Raw genomic sequence first — 21,526 nt, 5'->3', positions numbered from 1 at the left:
TGCCTACCCCCAAAAAGGGTGAGTGGAAGGCCTCTTAGCCAAGCCCACTTCCAGGGTGGCACATTCACACACCCAGCAGAAATGACACATCTATCTACAACAAAGGGGTGTCTACTAGTCCTACAAGTCAGGTACTGCAGGAGGTGCTCAAACCCATCCACTTAGAATAAGTGAAGGGGTTGACATGGCAATGGAACCACAAATGAGGCCAACTACCATATATGAGAGGACCCCATCAATACCTATAGGGTCTGGTACACTGACGGGTCTAGCAGAGGTATCTAATACTGGACATTAGAACAAAACATACACTGGAGATTCCACTTACCATATGACCAACAGGGGCAGACTTCACAGAAAAAAACAATGGCCTGTTAAAAACCCAATTATGTGCACTGTTCCAGGACAGCTCTTTAAAGTCTTGGACTAAGAATCTCCCAGAAACCATACACATTTTAAATGAGTTGCCCACTACAACACATGGCATTATTCCCTATGAATGGTTGGCAAGACCTGTAAAACAGGCTCTGCAAATTTGCAGGGTTACGTCTAAGACACCAAACTGTGCTCTTGAACCAGATGGCCGGACTCTGCTCCTGAGAACTAAAGTGGATCTGCGAAGTGATGATGGTAATGTGGACCTGAAGTTGAGCTGGAAAATGTCCCCAGACTAGATCAGTTTTATGGCGCTAGAGGGCACCATGAAGACTGCCAGAGGGGTGGTGGTTTCAGCTGTGCTGCTTGCTGGAGGTCTGAGAGCTTTACAAAATCAACATGTAGGGGCACCAATATCTGTTGGAGTGATCATAATATGGATACCATGGGCAAAGCCAAAAACTTACCAATTTGGCTATCATGCCCACTCCTAGAAAAGGAATCCATGCATGGTACTATAAGCCAGGCCTAAAGCCCATGACAGCTTCCCTAATAGGGCCAATGAGGGAAAATACAATGGAAATAATGTTACAAGGAATAGATATACCCATGATGGTCCTTACTAAACACCTGTGTTTATGCACACAGCTGCTCTTCCTGGTACCCATGGCAGCTGGTAATGTCTTTCTAGACTGATCTGCAATTATACTAGCAGTCAGCAACAAGTCTGGTTGTTGGATATAAGCCTCCCCCTGTAAAACAACAATGGTATGCCTTGGAATATTCTGCATTTCTCCCAACAGAACTGGAGTGACTGGTTCAACAGCATCAATAGTGCAATCTGGGCTCACAGGGGATTGCATCCACCCAATCGCCAACTCAATTGAGACCAAAAACATGTGACTTTCTGGGCGCTACCTGTTGAGCCTTTAAAGAGAATAACGTCAGAGATGCTTCAAATTATTGTAAACTCAGATCCATGATGCAGTTCAATTAAGTTTCTTTGCCCCATTCTGAAATGGTTACATATCTTACCCACTGAATGGAGTTATGTTTTGCTAATAGGCATCATAATTGTAGTTAGCTTCTGCTTTGTATGCTGTTATGTATACTGTAGATGAGGACTGTATTCATAAGCCATGGCTAAACATTATAGGCTTGTATAGTTATTTCCCTGGTACCCTACTCAAGGACTATAATGCAAAATTGGTGGAAAGAGTGTAAGAGTTAGGGGATGGGATGGATTGTAGTGTGATGGGTCCCCAACTAGGTTACTTAAGGGTGAATATGTGCTGCCTGACCCTTGTAGGCTGGACAGTGAGCCAAGGTCATGGTGGCCAGCTGTGTACAGGTGTTCCTGGGAACTCAAACATCCTGAAGAATCTCTGAGAACCTACCAGGGTAAACAGTCTCATTGCTCAAACACAGTAGGCAAAGAGCTGGAAAATTAGCTTAAAAGCAGTTTAGAGATGGGAGGTGGCATGGATCTCTAGAGCTGTCCTGCTGCTGTCCAGGAGTGCCCCATTTGTAAGTCCTAATAAACTTATCTACTCATCAAGCAGGACTGTCCAAGTCACCCTTTTATATCTCAAATCTCAGCTTCTTTCCGGTTTGAGGGAGAAGTTACAGTCCCAAGATTTTCTTATAACACTCATACGCATTTTTCCGTGAATCTTTTGTCATTTGAAAGGAAATTGCAGACATTATGCAACTTTATCCTGAAATACTTTAATTTGTATTTTGCAAGAAAAAATTATATAAGCACTATACTATTATCAAAATTAGGAAATCCAAGTTAGATACACTACTATTGTATAATACACGCTCTGTACTTGAAATTTGCCACCTACATCAATAATTTCCTCTATAGCTATTTCTCCCCAATAATGCACTGTATTTGATTGTTCATAAGTAGATGTCTTATTTTTAAGCATTAGGTGCTTATTTATTGTTTCTCTCTGAGAAAATGGCACAAATAGATATAAGTAAACTTGTACACAGTTATATTTTAGGAACCTGACGAAGGAGTTCAAATAATGTCCATTTTGTATAGTTAAACTGGTTTTTACCACATAGAAGAAAAACACAAGTGGCCATGCAGTTTTACTTAAGGCAATGAAAAGGGACTGCTTTTGCAGAAATGGCTATTATATGGGAAGAAAGACTAAACAGGATGACACAGACTGAGTATCATTTCTATATGGTTCCTGTTAGATTACTGTTTTTTTTAAACTGTACAACACGACCCATTATTAGGTTATGAAATCAGTTTCATAGGTCACAGACAGTATTTTGTTATAAAATATAATAAAACAGAAAATGTTAGAGAATATAACATGTGCCAAGAGAAACTCATCTCTTGAAACTTTTGTTCAGTTATGTGTGTATGTCTGTGTGTGTATGTATGTGAGTACGAATCAGATCATAGTACAAAACGTACTTTTGACTTCGCTTTCACTGTCAAAAAATCTAGTCTAAGAAACTGGCTTAGATTATTGCAGTCACAGTAATAAAGCCCATACTGATTCAAACCAATTTTACAACTTCAAGGTTTCTTGTCCAAATAGCCCTTGAATACAGGTGTTTAAATCCCTGTAAAGGCCTAACTGTGCCCCAACATTTATATGAACAGGTAGTGATTCTCTTTTCTTCTTCTTCTTTTTTTTTCTTTTTGTTATTCTGCTAAGTCCCAAAGCAGATTTCCCTGCATTTCTCCAATGTTGGGGGATGCTGTCGGCTTTAATTTTGCTCCATCTTTAATCTAAGGGAGGTGGCCCTTTGTGTTGTCAGCTGTATATGGAAGAGATTTTGGCTTAATATAAAGACATGCCTCTCACATAGACAGGCTTCTGCCCACCCCGACTAACTTAACACAAACCCTGAAACCAAGTGTGCTATCTAAGCAAATGTGCTCAGGACAAAAAGCAGATTCATGCACTGAGATTTTGCTTATCCCTCCATGCTTTGGAAAAAGATTGTCATTGAAGGAAATGGAAAGAGCTAACATAAGTGTAATTCTTATAAGACATTTGTCCAAGAAATAAAGGAACAAGATGGGTAAAAAGGATGTGACATAGTTTTGGGAAACTGGCCATTTTTAAGATTAGAGAGATTTAAACTTACTCTTTTTTGTCTTTCAATGTCTGAGTTTGGTTTTTTTTTTCTGGTTGGTCAAGTGGTGTGGTTTGGTTTTTATTAAAGTGGCAGGCTGCAAAGACATGTTTTTGTAGTCATTCTAACATATCTCAGCAAAAAATCAAATTAGGGATTCACATTTTAATGCTATAAACTGCTTGCAATTAAGAATCTTTATTTCTAAAATTTATTTCCTAATAATGATAAAGATGGAAAACATGGATATCTTAGTTGTAGTGTTATTTGCTCTACTAAAAAACACAGAAAGTTTGTTCACATTTTTAAGGGTCCCTTATACATTACTATCTATCTAAATATCATGTATCTATTTATAATCTATCAACTTACCTACTTGTGTATCCACTATATACATTATTCATTAATAAATGATATCTACACATGGCAATTTTTTTTCTTTTAAATATGGACATACTTATTTCTGCAAGGACCACTATGAACTTTTCTCTTTATTGGCGGCCCAAACTCCCTCTGTGAATTCAACAAGCATTAACTGAGGGCTTATTGAAGTGTATTCAAGGCTGGGGACACAAAGACGAAGAAAAAAAATAAAATGAAGGAAAAAAAGTCTTAATAAAGACACAGTCTTGCAAGTAAATATGTGTTTCTCTATGTGATTATTGATAAAAAGTATAAAATGAAAAAATGTTGAATTATTCAATGAACTTCAAAAAATAATGGTTTGGTTGATATGAACTTTGACAGGAAGTGGGACCTTAGCAAGTGGAAGAAATCTCAAATAGGGCATTCTGGCTCTTTTTCTTAACAATCTTACTATATAGATTTCAATGAAAAATACGGATAAAGATTTATATTTTGAGTAAACAGGGTAAAAAAGTATTTAATCTATTTAGCATCCTTTATGTGATGGACATAAAAACAACATAATTTTATTTTTATTACATTTTAGTCATATCGATATTTTCAGTAAATACATCTAAGAATAGTTTATGTCTATCAAACTGAAAGAGTAAATGAAGTCACCTCTGTAGACCACTGTAGACTTGAGCCAAGTCTGCTCTTGGATTGGCTCCCAGAGCTGACATTGATTTCAGTAGCAGTTGCATGCAGAAATCTCAGCAATGAAATTAGCTGATGGACAGGATGTTATTACAAAGAGCGAATCTGTAAAATGTTTCAAATATCAGTAACAGCCAAAAGGGAAAAAAAAGGCAGTTAATCAAATGTCAAAGCAACATCATGTAGAGCCAGTTTTGTCTGTAAAAAAGTACATTTGGTTCTTTGTGACTGAATCAAACTTCATCATCTCAAGACTAAAATATGTGACCTTCTACATTTCAAAGTAGAGGCTTCCATTAAATAACAAATCATTATAATCTGTAAAAAAAGAATCGATGAGGAAAACACACATATTTATGTGGTCTGGGAAAAAATGAAACAATAGAAAAGAAAATATATGAAATATAAGAAAAAGTAGCATTTAGATTCCAATAAATATCTATAGTTCAGAAACACAACCAGAGAAATCCCTCAAACTGTGAATCTGATGATATTACCTCCAGTGGTGGAATTCTTTAGTGGCCTGTCATTTCTTTCACAGGAGACTTAAAGTATCTTAGCATGAAACCCAAGATTATCCATGGCTTGGCTCCCACCTCACTCTACAGCCTATCTCTTCCATGCTTCTCCATGCTCATACCCTTTCCTTCAGACCCACAAACTGTCTTCAGTCCCACATGCTTCCCCACATCTAAGGCCCTTTATATAAACCATTCATCTCTACCAGAGGCTCCTTCTTGAAGCTTATAATTAACTGAGCATACTGCTGTGCTGGCCCAGCAGAGTTGCTTTTAGTGAATCCTGATTCTGGGAAGACTCAGGAAGCTATTGCAAAAAGTGTTAGCATTTTAATATTAATAAAAGCTTTTAAACCATACCCTATTTAAATGAGTTGTCTAAAAATTGTAATGGCTAGGAGATGTGAGGCAATCCATTATTAACATCAGGAATTTTGTGTATCACAAAAGCCTGAGCCTTGAAGTATAATTAACAGAACAGAATTAACTCTCATCATTGAAAAAGAAATCAAATGTAATATTAGAACTTGAAAATGTCTAAAAACAACTGTAACTGGTGAATAGCATTAGCACCGGAAAGCCAGAGACACTTAAAAATGGTGACGACAACCCTTTAAAACAGTAGCAAACAAATGGAACCATCTGTTTCCAGAAACTGAATTTATCCATAGGTGTTCCAGGTCTTTGCAGAATCATCAGTGAATCAAGCACATAATATAATATACCTATTTGCAATTAGAAAATATATAAATTAGAAGGTACATTTTGAAATAGTCATGTATTCAAAATCACTTGTTAATGAGGCATCTGTGAAGGAGTTCTGTTATCCTCAAATATCCAAGTATCTCAGAACCAGATATTATGAGAAATGTTCCACAGTATGTCATAACTGTAAAAGAAATCCACAATTATAATAAGATAATCCATAAAAGCAATAATATATTGTATTTACTGTGACATGGTTTGGCTGTGTGTCTCCACCCAAATCTCATGTCTAATTGTAATACCCATGTGTCAGAAGGAGCCTAGTGGGAGGTGATTGGATCATGGTGGCAGATATCCCCCTTGCTGTTTTCGTAATAATGAGTGAGTTCTCACGAGATCTGATGGTTTAAAAGTGTGGCACTTCCCATTTTGCTTTCTCTGTCTCTCCTGCCACCATGTAAGACGGGCCCTGCTTCTCCTTTGCCTTTGGCCAGGATTGTAAGGTTCCTCCCCAGCCATGTGAAATTGTGAGTCAATTAAACCTATTTTCTTTGTAAATGACCCAGTCTCAGGTAGTTCTTCATAGCAGTGTGGAAATGGAGTAATAAATATTATGAATGGATATTTTATAAATATCTATCTCAGAGGAGGCTGAGAGACTGTTACTTGACCCCAGTGGCCAAGTGGTTAAGTGGTAGGTAGAATCAACTTTTGAGTCTCCATTATTTGACTTTAAAGTCCATATTTTTAGTAAAATATTCCATGGATATTACTAAAGAAAAAGAAAAAAACCTCCCACATTCATTCTATTATCTGCAAAAAATAATACTTGTGGAAGAAGAAAAATTATGTGGTTTTTCTAAGGTTCAAATGCTCTCATATCTTCAGTCATATTTGAGCAAACTGGCCCAATGGGAGATGAACCATAGATGTATTCCTAGCATTTTCAGATGTCATTTCCTATCATTTAAAAAATCTATACTTTTCTACTAGACTTAATTTATCTTTATACTCTGGTCAGCCCATGCAGTGCCTTGTACATACTTAGTCATACAATCCCTGAACTTCAAATTTAGGTATAGCATAAAAATTTTTCTTATAACTAACTACTAAAGAATTATTGTTGCCTAGACAAAATTTATCTCCCATTTTTTCTTCCTTTTGGGTCACTGGGCTTCATTGGCTGGAACATGAGGACGACAGTAAAAGTGGGTAGAATTCACCTATTCTCTGTGCAAGGAAATCTCATAGCATGCCTAGCTCTAGGGAAATCCCACTACTTTTTCTTGTAATTATTTCAGCAATTCAGATGTTAGAGAATTATTACATGACATGACTATTATTCACCCATAGGGGACACAGTCAGATAATAAGACATTTTCTCCCATATTTAAAGGATAGATCTCTCTCCTTTTAGGTATGAACAAAGGCCTTTTGCCCCTATGGCTGCTGGCTGCCATCTTGTGGCCACAATAGAAGTTGATCTAAAGGCTAAGGCAACACAGTGGGCCAGAGTCAAGGGGCTCCACGAAGAAACAGAGATGGAGACTTGAACTCACCAGCTGATTGAGTCTATCCTACGTCTTGCTATGTACTACAATGTTTCCTTATTCATAGAGTTGGTTTGAATCACAGGATCTGTCGCTTATATTTGAGAGCACCTAATTTATATAAGATATATAATTTGGTTAATGAAATAAAAGCTGCATATCAGAATGTACATCTTACCTAAAATGTAGGTCCAATTCGGGAAATGTCACCCCAAAATGTGATGCTTCAGTGTGCTGATCACTTTGAACTGAAGGCACTTGGGAAAACAGTGGATTCAGGCAGAGGCTTTTTCTCAGCTCCTCTAATCTGCATAAAGATGGATCCTCCAAATGAATCTTACATGTCATAAATCCCCTTCTCAGGAATTCTTCCAACCACGAAAGACTGACTTAAATGGCTGGAGAGGAGCCTAGAGGCCAATACTAACCCAGTAAGGCTGTCCTCTCTTCTTAGGGCTGCTCATTGACTACTTTTGTTACGTGGGAGACTTTTTTCTGCATAACAAGACCACCTTTATTCACCATACATTTCCTTGCCTCACCTTCCCATAACTTGTGTTGCCCCAAGAAGCCCCAATTTCCTATTCCTTTCTTTAGCTCAGGATGCAATTATATGAGCTTCAATATTCTGACCCTTCTTTGAGTCTCAGATTTTGCGGAACTCTTGTGCATATATATATGATTAAATGTGGTTTATTTCCTTAATCTGTTTTATGTCAATTTAACTCATAGGCCAGCCAAGGAACGTAGAAGAGTGGAGGGAAGCTATTCTTCACTTGCTTAGACATTCAAGAAAAACATATTCAAATAAAAGTTGTATCATATCTATCAGTCCTGGTCCAATAGTTTCATATAAGCATAATATTGAACTTAATTAAAATTATTTAGAAAAATAGGCATAGTGATACTTTGAATAGCATCGTACCAAAACAGTATTTATTTTTAATTTGTCAAAAGGACAGATTGTGTTACTATTGGCTTAAAGTCATTCAATGGAACCACATTGCACTTAAAAATTCTCTCTTCTAATCAAGGCTCAGTCTAAACTCTCGATTAATTTGGCTTCCAGTGTAAGGATTCATAAGGCCATAAAGTCTTACACTTCAGGCTTCAGTGCAAATGTCACCTCGTCTGAGAAGTTTTATCCTTCCACTGTATCTAAATCCATGTCTTCCTTTCCAGCATTTATCACCTTGTTCACTTCCTTCATAACTCTTATCACTAGCCTGAATGTATTTTGCTTACTTGTTCCTTTACTAATTTATCTCTGTCTACACTTGTGAGATTATTGATTCCATTCTGCTTGAATGGAATCCATTGTTACCTGGGAGACTTTTCTCTGCATAACAAAACCACCTTTATTCACCATACATTTCCTTGCCTAACCTTCCCATAACTTGTGTTGCCCCAAGAAGCCCCAATTTCCTATTCCTTTCTTTAGCTCAGGATGCAATTATATAAGCTTCAATATTCTGGCCCTTCTTTGAGTCTCAGATTTTGTGGAACTCTTGTGCATATAGATATGATTAGATGTGGTTTATTTCCTTAATCTGTTTTATGACAGGGTTCCTGCTTCTCATCCTCAGCATTAAATTCCCAGCAAATAGAACTGGCTCCCAGTAGGCAATCGAGTATTTGTTTAATAAATGAGTGAATGACTAAATACACGAAAGTCCTCTAAAACACCAAGGTTTTCTCAGTTTTGTTTCATAGTACTCTGAATAATATATGGAATATATTTTTCTATTCAAATCATATGAAAAGTAGTGTTCAATTGAGTTTAACAGGCCAGTCTTAAATACATTTGCATGAAATATCCTCCTTCATCTTAACACTTTACTATTTTTTTCCACTTTGTACATTGGTTAGATTATCTCTTTTGAGTGATCAAGAAATATTTAGATAGCTGTGATGAGGGAGGGAAGGAGAACGAGACCTGGACTTTTACAGTGCAGGGCTTCTAAATGACCTACTCTATCTTCTATTCCAATAGAAAAATTGGTCCCCAAAAACGTTTCCTTGATGAATAGCATGGCAATTTCAAAGTTGTGAGTTTTTTCTCTGTTTACATGACCTTAAATTGCAGTGAAATCCACAAGCATTTAAAAGTACAAAGACTGCAAGGCCCTTTCTGACACTCATTTCATGTCTACAATTACCCAAACTCAAAACACATGTGAATAATACTGAATAGAAATACTTCAATACAATTTTTTTCTTTTTAAATAAAATGAAAAGACCTAGGCAGTAGTCTGTACTCTGTTTTTCCACAACTTGAATTTAGATTGACAATATAAAATACCTTTTTTCATCACAGATTTAACAGAAACTATGCCTGATTCTTAAATTCTGATATTCCTGTTTTTGTATCATAGGTAAGGGAAATTGTTTGATAAGCCACTTATATTGTTAGCACTATATTCAGCTATGAACACTGTATTCACTTATATTGTTAGCACTGTATTTTATTTTCTGTGTTCTAATGCTTTGACATTGGAGCCTTGCTGACTTTAGAGGGACTGTACCTCCTAGAGTTAGCCAGTTCTTAGGGATAGTAAACAACTCACCCAGGAACATGCTTTCAAACACAAATCAATGAATCTAGAGTCCAGGACAACATCGCATGTCAGGCTTTCACACTCTAGGTGACTATCCTGTCCTTACCAACCCCTGGGTCAAGTACTAGACAACTATTCTCCAGAACTCACTAGATGACCCCCGTGTTTCTCAGTGTGAACCCCCATTTTATCATATCTTCTTCCTCTTAGGAACTATGTTGTCTTGGTGCATTGGGGCTGTTATAACAAAATATCATAAACTGAGTAACTCAAACGACAGAAATTTATTTCTTACAGTCTTGGGAGTCTGGAAAGTCCAAGATCAAGACACTGATTGACTCCATGTGATGAGAGCCTGCTTCCTAGTTCACAAATATTGCCTTCTAGCTGTGTCCTTACATGGTGGAAAGGGTAAGGGGGTATTTCTCAGACCACTTTTATAAGGGCACTAAGTTCCACCTTCATTTCTACCTCACTTTCCAAAGGTATTGTTACAGGTAGTTAGGCAGACATGAGCAGGGCAGGGAAGGCTCTCCTCCATCCACTAGGAATGTTGGATGATTGTTTGGCAATTATCACATTGCCTCTCTAAAAGTGATAAATTGGTGGTTCCAGGGAGAGGCCAGTTCCTGATGGTCCACACCTGTTGCAAATTGTTAATTGAGTGCAGGCTCCTGGGGGAAGCAACTTCCCAGTCATATGTATCAAAAGACAAAATGGTGGAGTGTCACCTTCTGGGGGCACACCACTGGAAAAGGGAAGAAAGCCTGAGATGGGCTTGCATACAACTTCCTAAACACACTGTGAGTGCTCACCTCCCAAGGGTAAGGAGGGCACTGTGCATGTGGGCCGCCCACCCTAAGGGAAGAATCACTGGAAAGGGGCCAGCCTATAAAGTCCTAGGATCATGATTAAACATGGCACTCGGTGCCTGCTTGGGTCTCTTGAAGTATCCCTTCCTTTATTTTCTATTCCAAAGCTTTTTAAATAAAACTTCCACTCCTGCTCTAAAACTTGCCTCAGTCTCTTTTTCTGCCTTATACCCCTCAGTCAAATTCGTTCTTCTAAGGAGGCAAGAATTAAGGTTGCTGTGGACCTGTACATATTTGCCACCAGTAACTTGAATATTTGCCACGGGTAATGGTACCAACTCCTAATAACATCACCCGGAGAGTTAAAATTTCAAGTTATTAATTGAGGGGCACAAATATTCAGACCATAGTATATGACTAAGAAACTATCTTTTCAGTTGCAATTTTCTTCTAATCTATTCACCTTAGCATACCTACATAATAATAAAACCTCCTAAAATAAATACATAAGGTATATTTAGTTATATGGCAAAAGGGTTATAAAGTTAGTTTCTTAGGATAAAGAAACACACTGAAAACTCCACTAATAAGTTTAAAAACTATGAAAGACCTTGAAAATAAAAAGTTGAGTGAAAAATATCAAATGTGTAATGTATAATCGTTTTTGCATTTAAAATAGTATTCATAAGGTTTTCATAGTTTTGCTTTCAATTTGACCTCATAATTCTATCATTTTGCCCATTGTCTTAAGTTATATTGCTACTTTTTATTTAAAAGGAATCGGGCAGGCACAGTGGCTCACACCTATAACCCCAGCACTTTGGGAGGCCGAGGCGGGCAGATCACTTGAGGTCAGGAGTTTGAGACCAGCCTGGCCAACATGTAGTGAAACACTGTCTCTACTAAAAAATACAAAAAGTAGCTGAGGGTGATGGTGCATGCCTGTAGTCCCAGCTACTTGGGAAGCTGAGGCAGGAGAATCACTTGAACCTGGGAGGCAGAGGTTGCAGTGACCTGAGATTGGGCCACTGCACTCCAGCGTGGGCCACAGACCAAGACTCCATCTCTCAAAAAATAAAATAATAAATAAATAAATAAATAAATAGAAATTTAACACAAAATTCAAGGACTCTTGAATTGCTCTATTACACATATTTTTGGTACCCATTGCCCTCAGTGTTACAGATTTTTTTTCTGATTTGTCTCTCTGGAGATGGGGTAGGTATGACAGGCACATCTAGGGCTAGGTCAATTCTTGGGGTCTAAGAGGTTCAAAACAAGTAAGAAGAATAGAGTGGAAATGCAAAACAAATATTTGAGAAGGATGAGCTTAATCACAGGTGTCCAACCTTTTGGCTTCCCTGGGGCACGTTGGGAGAATTGTCTTGGGCCACACATAAAATACACTGACACTAACAATAGCTGATGAGCTAAAAATAAAAAAGTCTGTGCATAATTTTGTGATATCTGCCACTACAGATATACCAAAAAGTCCTCATATTCAAAGGGTTGGACACGGCTGATAGAGATATCAAAAACCATCATCAGGCCAGGTACAGTGGCTCATGTCTGTAATCCCAGCACTTTGGGAAGCCGAGGCAGGCAGATCACTTGAGGTCAGGAGTTGGAGACCAGCCTGGCGAACATGGTGAAACCCCACCTCTACTAAATATACAAAAATTGGCTGGATGTGTTGTCAGTTACCTGTAATCCCAACTACTTGGGAGGCTGAGGCACAATAATCACTTGAACCTGGGAGGCAGAGCTTGCAGTGAGCTGAGATCATGCCACTGCACTTCAGCCTGAGCAACAGAGTAAGATTCTGTCTCAAAAACAAACAAACAAACACACACAAAAAATTATCATAACCAGTGATCCAGAATTTATTAAAGATTTATTAGTACTGTGCACACTATTAGGTATTGAATACTATTGGGGCTCAGAAAATGGTATGCAAAAATATGGTGCTTTGCCGTGCTGAGTGCTTTGAGAAGAAAGATATTGGAAGGGCTTCAGAAACAAAGTATCCCTCTGAACTTCTCCTGTCCTCCTGAAACAGCCTTTGCAAAATTATGATGGTAAGAAATCTAACATAGTTGACTTCATCTTGCTTCTGACTTCCAAGCAGTCCTTGGTCATCCCCGGGCTTAAGCCAAGCTAACTTGAGGAATTTAGTCTATAGTTTAACCTTAAAGCAAAGATGATAATAGCCCTTCCCCAAACTAAACCACCTTTGTAAAACTAATGGAAGTTTTTAAGATTCAGATTATGAGAGGGGCCTGAATTCTGACAAAATAGGCGTAGTTTCTTTCTCTGCCGCATGGCCAGGCTGCATATTTTTCAAACTTGTATGCTCTGCTTTTCTTTTAAATGTAAATTCTAACTTTAAGTAATTTCTTTGCTCCTGCATCAATGTGAAGGCTGTTAGAAGCAGCTAGGCCACTTCTTCAATGCTTTCCTGCTTATAAGTTTCTTTTGCCAGGTACCCTAAATCATCACTCTCAAGTTCAAACTTTCACAGATCCCTAGGGCATGAACAGAATGCATTCAGGCTCTTTGTTAAGGCATAACTCATGTGACTTTGCTCCAGTTCCCAATAAATTCCTCACTTCCAACTGAGACCTTGGCATCCTGTATTTCACTGCCAATATCACTATTAGCATTTTGGTCACAATTATTTAACCAGTCTCTAAGAAGTTCCAAACATTCCCTCATCTTCCTATATTTTTCTGATCTCTCCAAACTCTTCCAAACTCTGCCTATTACCAGTTCCAAAGTCTCTTTCACATTTTTGGTGTCTTTATAGCAACACCCCACTCCTCAGTCTCAATTTTCTGTATTAGGCCATTCTTGTATTGCTATAAAGAAATACATGAGACTGTGTAATTTACACAGAAAAAGAGGTTTATTTGGTTTGTGGTTCCGCAGGCCACACAACCAGTTAGTTGAGTCATGAATCAGAAGTCCAGGTGGAGTTAGCCATCCTCAGAAATGCAAAAGTCTAAAAAGACATCTCAAAATTGTAGAACCTTATGTTCTACAATAGTGATGTTAACTACAGGTGTAATTGGGGAAATTATAAATCTTGTGACATTCATAACAATGGATGGTTATTGTTTAACTACGCCTACAACTTAACAGAATTCAGGCCCTTCTCATACTCAACGTTGTGTTCTTTAATTGTTTTACAAAGGCTGTTTAGTTTTGGAAAGGGCTATTATCATCCTTGCTTTAAGGCTAAACTATAAATTTCTCCCAAAGTTAATTTGGTCTGTACCCAGGAATGACCAAGGACAGCTGGGAGGTTAAAAGCAAGATGGAGTCAACTATGTCAGATTTATCTTACTGTGTAATTTTGCAAACGTGGTTTTAGAATTCCATGGTCTGGGGAAATTTAATCTGTGCAGTGGTCAGGAAGAACTCATTACACTATCTGTGTCAGAATTTGATCAGAGAAGCAGATCCCTATGAGTGACACAATGAAAGGAAATTGTTATAGGGATTAGATATAACACAATTGTGAGGGCTGGTAATAAGTCTATACAAGGCTGTTAACTTTATGTCTAATGGGACCCTGAAGTCATGATAGGTCACCCTAACCAGTGGTCAGGAAAGAGAGCTCCATATAACTTGGACAGGAGCAAAGGAAAACTGGAATGTACAAGGACAAAATAAAACCTGTCTCTTTCTTTTCCCATGTCTAAACTTGATGATATGAATGATCTACAGGAAAATCTTGTTTTATTCATTGTTTACCACAGAATTAAACAATACCTGGATCATTGTATAGAGAAGTTGTAAAAGAAGATTTTGTGGGAGCTGGTAGAGGTGTAGATCTGGGTGCTGTCTCATGCCAGTTTCTGAGTTAACAGAACAAAGACAACAGGTATGATATGCCATATTGTCAGGCACCCTATACCAAACTCAGTGCATTAAAATGGCTTTTCACTCACTCATACCTTACAAATATTGCCCAAATTTTTGTATATCCACATTAAATATCTTAAATATCCCCAATCTGGTACTGCAAAGAAAAGGCCCATTTCAACTTTGCTAAATTGGCATAGTAAAGGGACATTATGTTCCAATCTTTGTCAATTTGGCATCTATATATATGTCTTTTAATTTTACTTAACTTCATAGTATAGATAATAGCAAAGGCATATTTCCATCTAAAATTATACTAGTATCCCTTATACAACCAAAAACATGCTGACTCTCTTTTCAAAAGGATATGATGTTTTTCTATCTAACTTGGCAATGTTCATTTCTAATTGAACCACACTGACCCTTTTATGGTTTGTAACTTAAATACTGAGATATGAGATTAAAACATTTGATGTTATATGATGGGGGAAAGGGAGAGCAGAAGATGATAATTAATGTATTTATAAGTATATTTATATCAGAATAAGAAGAAATATGTATTTGTAACTATTATAGTAAGTCATGTGTTCATACCTTCTATTTGTAACTATCTTCATACACTGCCTTTTCTACATAATCTTTGCTGTAAGCAAGCACTTTGCTAGTTATAGTTTTTGGCCTGATGAGTTGACCCAAACTTTCTTTTCTGAGCAGTCTGGTTCATTATCAGTCCTGCCTAAATGTAATTGTAGTTTACCGTTACCTTTTATCACTTGTCATTGAAGTACTGAGCAGCACCCTTCTGCAAACAGAAGTATTGCAGGTATGCTTATTCTTAACCTCACTATTCCTTAGTAACTCAATTTCCTTAAAATAGTTAAAATTATTTACCACAGTCAGCACAATCACTCCCTTCTTTGTCCATTGATTCACTTGCATGAGAAACCTAAAGTGAACTAAGTGTTAAATTTAACTTCAGTTTTAACAGAATGATTGATAGTGACTCATGGTAGAGGCATTACTCCCTCGTGAACTAAGATGCCTAGATCAGAGGAGCCCAAATTCACAATTATTGAAAGTAATATTTTTGTTAACAGATTATTGAATTATTACAGAAAGAAAACATTCCCATTTCTATATTTGATTCCCAGGCCTGCGAATACTGACCAGGAATGAACAGAACCACACATTGGTCACTGATTTAGAGCATATACTGCATTCCAGGGAAATTACCCAAGCCCTCAAGATATTGCCAAGCAAGTGGTGTCATACCTGATTCTTGAAAAATATCATTCCGCTATTCTATCAAGGCGAATGCTTCAGGATGATAGAAAACAAGATAAGACCAGTGAATTTCATGATCATGATCTAATTATCACACTTCATTTTCTAAAACATAGTGGTTTGGTCAAAAGCAGTGCTGCACAGAATACCATAATGTTTAAGAAAATCTATAATAACATGAATATGGTTCTTCCAAAAGCACTGTGGACAGTGAATGAAAATCCACATCAAGACAAAGTGTTTAACCAATGATAATAAAGCACTGTCCTTTTCATGAGAGGTGAGTTCCAATGCAATCAACTTGTCACAAGGTGGTGGGTTGAGCTCCAAAGAATGGTGCTATTTTTGAGTAGGTTGAACATTCATCAGTGGCTGTTCCCAGATAAGACTTTAGAATATAAGTCCACTTTTTCTGATGTCATGGATAGTACCCTTGCGAACATAGCAACTTGGTTTGTGAGGACAAAGGCTGACTAACATCCACAGAAATCATCAACTTATTTACAAATCTGTGAAAATTCCTCTCATCTGAGGTTGCTTTTTGGTGAGCAGTCCCATGGAACACAAATATCTTTATATTCTCAACACATATAAAAGATATCCTCACATACCTTTACTCTAGACCCTCTTGCAAAAATTTTCCAGACTTGATACTTGAGAGTCTCTGATCATTGAGCAAAAACATTATTCATTATCTATAAATTAGTGTAGATCTATACCTCTGAACATCTTTTATTTCAGGCAAAATGAACAGTTGTATGCATGGCTCAATGTCTTCTCCATTAAAATAACTTTTCCTTGCTACTGTTCTTCAAGGACACCCTGGAGTGGGACTGTATTTTTGCAATCACTTATTTACATGTAGTTCCAGCATTTTATAGAGCCACTTGTAAACCAGACCCATTTTTTTGTAGTCAAATTTTCATAGATGACTATGAAAGTATTAGGATGATTGAGAGAAAGGAGGAAGTGTGGCAGAATTAGGAGACATGGATAGCAGAACAAAATATTCTTGTGAATTTCTTATGCCTTCAGGGCATACTTGAATGAAATTTCTTATACATGACATCATTTGATGTTTATAAATGTTTGATAAATGAGTATCATTGTGCAAACCACTGAACTTTACGATTTTATGAAGCAGATACCTCCCGCACTTTATAATTGGTAGATCAGGGTAAACAGTAACTTGTTAGTTAATGGTCAAGTGTTCATTCTCTGCTATGGCCCAGTGGCAAGCCAGATGCTGTTTCTTTAAACAAGAAACATTGTCTATAGAGAATGACTAGCTTTGCTCTAAAATCATAATGGTATGTCCCAAAACCCTAAGAATTTCGCATAGGTGGTAATATCCTAAATTTTTTGTGAAAATTACTTCTTATCTCTGGTGAACATATGTTTCACCAAGGTGTTTAGAATTGTTGTTTCTTCCTGATCACCAGATTTAATCAGTATTGGGAGAGGGAATCCAGCATGGGCCTTGACTGTGCCCCTATGCATTCTTGCAGGATAGGCCAAGAATGCATGGCCCTAATTACCCAGGCCATTTTTAGAGTTGTGTTTGCAGTGAACAACTTTGAGTGATGAAGTAACATCTCCCCCAGTGCAAAGAATAAGCATGCTTCCACTTGCTTTGCTTTTGCTTATTTTAAAAGTGGTGAATTTCCAAAGCTCGGCTTGGATTTCTTTTCTTGTCAAATAGCCCACTGAACGTACACACATCCATCATGGGTCCTGTGTCATTCACATGGCATTTGAGAGAAGATGGGGAATTAACACTAACCAGCAAGGAATTTTAAATGCTGCCCTTGATGTGAGTAATAAAGTCCTTTGTCTTTGGTCCAAGAGTCTCATGTCTTCTGGAACCCATGAAACAGTTACAGACTAACTTGTATCCATTAAATAGGGTAAAAGCTCAGATTCTGCACAGTTCTTGACAATAAACATAATCTCAATAATAAAATGATTCAGCATGGTAATCTTTGAAATAGAGAGGCTATCAAGTTCCCTGAAGATTAATTATTACATAGGGCTAGAAAGTTGACATAGCCTAGAGAGGCGAGCAAGGTACACTGCTATCCTTGTCAGCTGAAAACAAAATGCTTCTGATAATTGTTTCTAGCAGGTATAAATTAAAATAATTTACCAAACCAATAGTTGCATATTACATGCCAGAGGATGTAGTAATTTGTTCCAGTTGTATATCCATCCTTGAAAAAATACCTGCAATTGTAGTCATCACCCAGTTGTGATAGTCCCCTGTCATTCTACAAGATGCATCTGAACCGGAATGTGTTGAGTTATCACTCCTGCATTTTACAAGTTCTCGTGATGGTACTAATCACTGCAATTCCTCAGGATTGCGGTATTGCTTTCGCTTTTTATAGAGAGGCATTTCATTTGACTTCCATTTGGCCATTCCTGCTGTAGTAGCCCTATTTAAAGGGTCAGAGAATCAATGTGAAGATTCGACCAGTTACCAAATATGTTTATTTCCAATTTAGCATTATAAAGTTGAGAAAATACCATAAGGTATTTTGAGGGGCCCACTGCAAGATGAACACAAGACAAAACTTTATCCATCACCTTACTTCCTATTGTCCTACTTTGGATGGTGAACCACTGTGCTCTTTTAGGTGTTTAGCAGTTATTGTCAGTTCAGTGCCAATAAGTGGTAATACCAAAACAGTCTGGTTATTTTCCCATAATGTACATTCACACTGGTAATACCCACACCTCCCTTTGGGGAAGGTTAAGAAGAGTTATAATGTAAAAGTTGGGGCCATCTTCTGCTTCAGTTAAGGAATTCTGAATTTATAAAGTAGCTCAAATTTGTCCGAGTAGCAATTAATCTCTGTTTTAGTGACTCTAGTTAGATTTCTGTTCAACTGAATTAAGGATTCCTAATTATACAAATCAAATCCGATTATATTTGATAGTTTGCTTATCTGTCTCAAATCCATCATGGATAATATGATCAAAGCTAATATTCAAAATTTTTAGGAGTCAAACCATTTGATTGATGCTTTGGCTCTTCAGCCCATGATGGCAATCTCTGCTACCTTGTTTTACGATTAAGATCTGCTGCTTGGCCCCAGCAAACGGGGTTTCATTCATCCACATGGAATCCAGAAGGCCTAGTTCAATGGTAGCTGTTCCCACTGTTATGGACAACCTGCAAAGAATATCCGGCTCAGATCTGGTGATATATTGTATATATCACTAGGTATGGTGCACTTATTTCTATCAGGGGCCACAAGAGAAGATTAGTAAGTAATGGAGGAAGTGGCTGGACACCCATATTCTTCTCAGCATGTGTCTGGAACTGGGTTTGAATTCCTTTCTCTGGAGTTTAATCCCTTACTGTTAAGGGGCCAGTACCAAAATATGACAATACATTATTTTTAATAAGGCACTGTTAGATTCTGAGTTGGCAGTATTATATCCAGAAGCTAAAAGAAATCTGTTATAGAAAACTCTGTGAAACTCTAGGGACAAGCAGGTGACCAAATGTGAGGGCTATTCTTCCAGCCTAGCACAGTACTCAGCACAGCTCTGGTTCATGGAGAATCTGTGGTTTTGGGAGCAGTGGAAGATGAGACTTGTGACAAAGATATCTACTTGATTGTGTTGGGGACCATTATTGACAGTGGCAAAGACAAGGTTCCAGTAGGTGGTCTGCAGAAATAGGTTTCTGGCAAGGCTGGTCTGAGCAGGAAAGGAAGAAAATGGAGTTACCGTATAGATATAGAAAATGGCACTGTTCACTATATATTCATGTAAGCTGTTCTCTTAGGGGTGTCTCTGAAATGCTGATTCTTTGTTGAGTTTCACTGCCTGATTATTTCTATGAGCAGATTTGGAGCCACTATAATTTAAACACAAAAGCAAAGATGACTTTGTCTACACAGTCTTTAAGTCCAGGTGACATATATTAAAACAAACAAACAAACCACTCAAAGTAGTACAAAGTTTATGTGAGGAGGTATGAAAATAAAAAAGTGATAACTTTCATTCTTTTGCTTTAAAATAAATAATTTGTTGCATTTAAGAAAAAAAATCTTCAACTTAAAAAGGTGCGTTGGCAAAATTGAGTTCAATAATTTCTTAAAAACAAATTAAGTTTCTATTACTATAAGTAGCTTCAATAAAAATAGGTAAGTAGATTATTTGAAAAAAATGTGTTTTAAGAGCTCAATGCTTTTATTTTAAGCAATTCAATCAGTTTTGTGTGTTGAATCTATTTTTCATTTGATTGATAGGATTGATTTCTATAAACTACATTACAGCTGAGAGGTTATGTATGGCATTTGGCACTGAGATTTAAAAAGTAATCATTAATTGTATATTGTTTCTGAGAAATTGATGGTATCACACTGTTATTTATTTCAGATTTCTCCAAGGACTTTCTTTAGTTTTGCTATATTTTCCAATTAAGAAATGTGACAAAAAATTCTGCCTTATAGTGTGCATATTTAACTTGGTTTTATATGTATTGGAATCATTTTGAAAGGGAAACATGTTTATACAGTTAGAGTCAAGTGAGGTATAAAGGCAATAAACTCCTGCTTTTATGTAGTTTTAGAGTTTGGATAACTAGGAGGTCAAATGTAGTACATCTGCACTGGGATCTGCCATACCAGCTCTTTTAAAATCCAGAGCATTGGCTTCAAATTGGAACAGAATTTCTCAGTAAAAAGATATCCTTCAAAATAAATAGTCTCTTACTATCACTATGTTTTCATTAAAAAGTAAAATATGTTGTTCATTTTTAAAAAGGTGTATTTTTTTCCCTAAATGTGTTTTGCTGATCAGAACATATACCTTTCATAAAAATTCATGTGCGTACATGGAAAAGTAACTCCAAGATGTTGCTGTACTTTTGCACATGAGCAGACGGCTGCCAACCAATCTCCCTGATTATGCAAAGATGGAATTATAGCAAGAATTACTAACAGGCTGATAGGTTTGGATTTCCCACTTCAAAAGTGTTGAATTGTTTCCTTTATGTTCTGAGACAAATGACCTACCTAGCTGCTTGGCCATGCAGAGAAGCTTGGAACAAGCAGAGAAGCTGACAAGGCTGCTGACACCCGTGAGAGCTGATTGTAAAAAGTAAACTTCTGCTGGAAATGAATTCTTTTTTTTAATTTTATTTTTATTATGCTTTAAGTTCTAGGGCACATGTGTACAACATACAGGTTTGATACATTGGTATACATGTGCCATGTTGGCTTGCTGCACCCATCAACTCATCATATACATTAGGCATTTATCCTAATGCCATCCCTCCCCTAGTCCCCCACCCCCCGACAGGCCCCAGTGTGTGATGTTCCCCACCCTGTGTCCAGGTGATCTCCTTGTTCAATTCCCACCTATGAGTGACAACATGCGGTGTTTGGTTTTCCGTCCTTGTGATAGTTTGCTGAGAATGATGGTTTCCAGCTTCATCCATGTCCCTACAAATGACATGAACTCATCTTTGTTTATGGCTGCATAGTATTCCATTGTGTATATGTGCCATATTTTCTTAATCCAGTCTATCATTGATGGACATTTGGCTTGGTTCCAAGTCTTTGCTATTGTGAATAGTGCCTCATTAAACATACATGTGCATGTGTCTTTATAGTAGCATAATTTAAAATCCTTTGGGTATATACCCAGTAATGGTATTGCTGGGTCAG

General features: G+C 37.3%; 1 annotated feature.

Moving 5' to 3' along the window:
• Positions 8,395–8,896: an enhancer, noted in NCBI's record as "NANOG hESC enhancer chr13:61858809-61859310 (GRCh37/hg19 assembly coordinates)". NCBI's record gives its function as "activates a minimal SCP1, AML or CMV promoter by ChIP-STARR-seq in primed H9 embryonic stem cells {active_cell/tissue: H9 hESC(primed)}" and the evidence as "EXISTENCE:reporter gene assay evidence [ECO:0000049][PMID:30033119]".

This window comes from Homo sapiens, chromosome 13 (genome assembly GCF_000001405.40).
Source record: "Homo sapiens chromosome 13, GRCh38.p14 Primary Assembly".
Lineage (NCBI taxonomy): Eukaryota > Metazoa > Chordata > Mammalia > Primates > Hominidae > Homo > Homo sapiens.
Note: the sequence above shows the minus strand (reverse complement) of the source record. Positions and strands in the feature narration are given on the sequence as shown.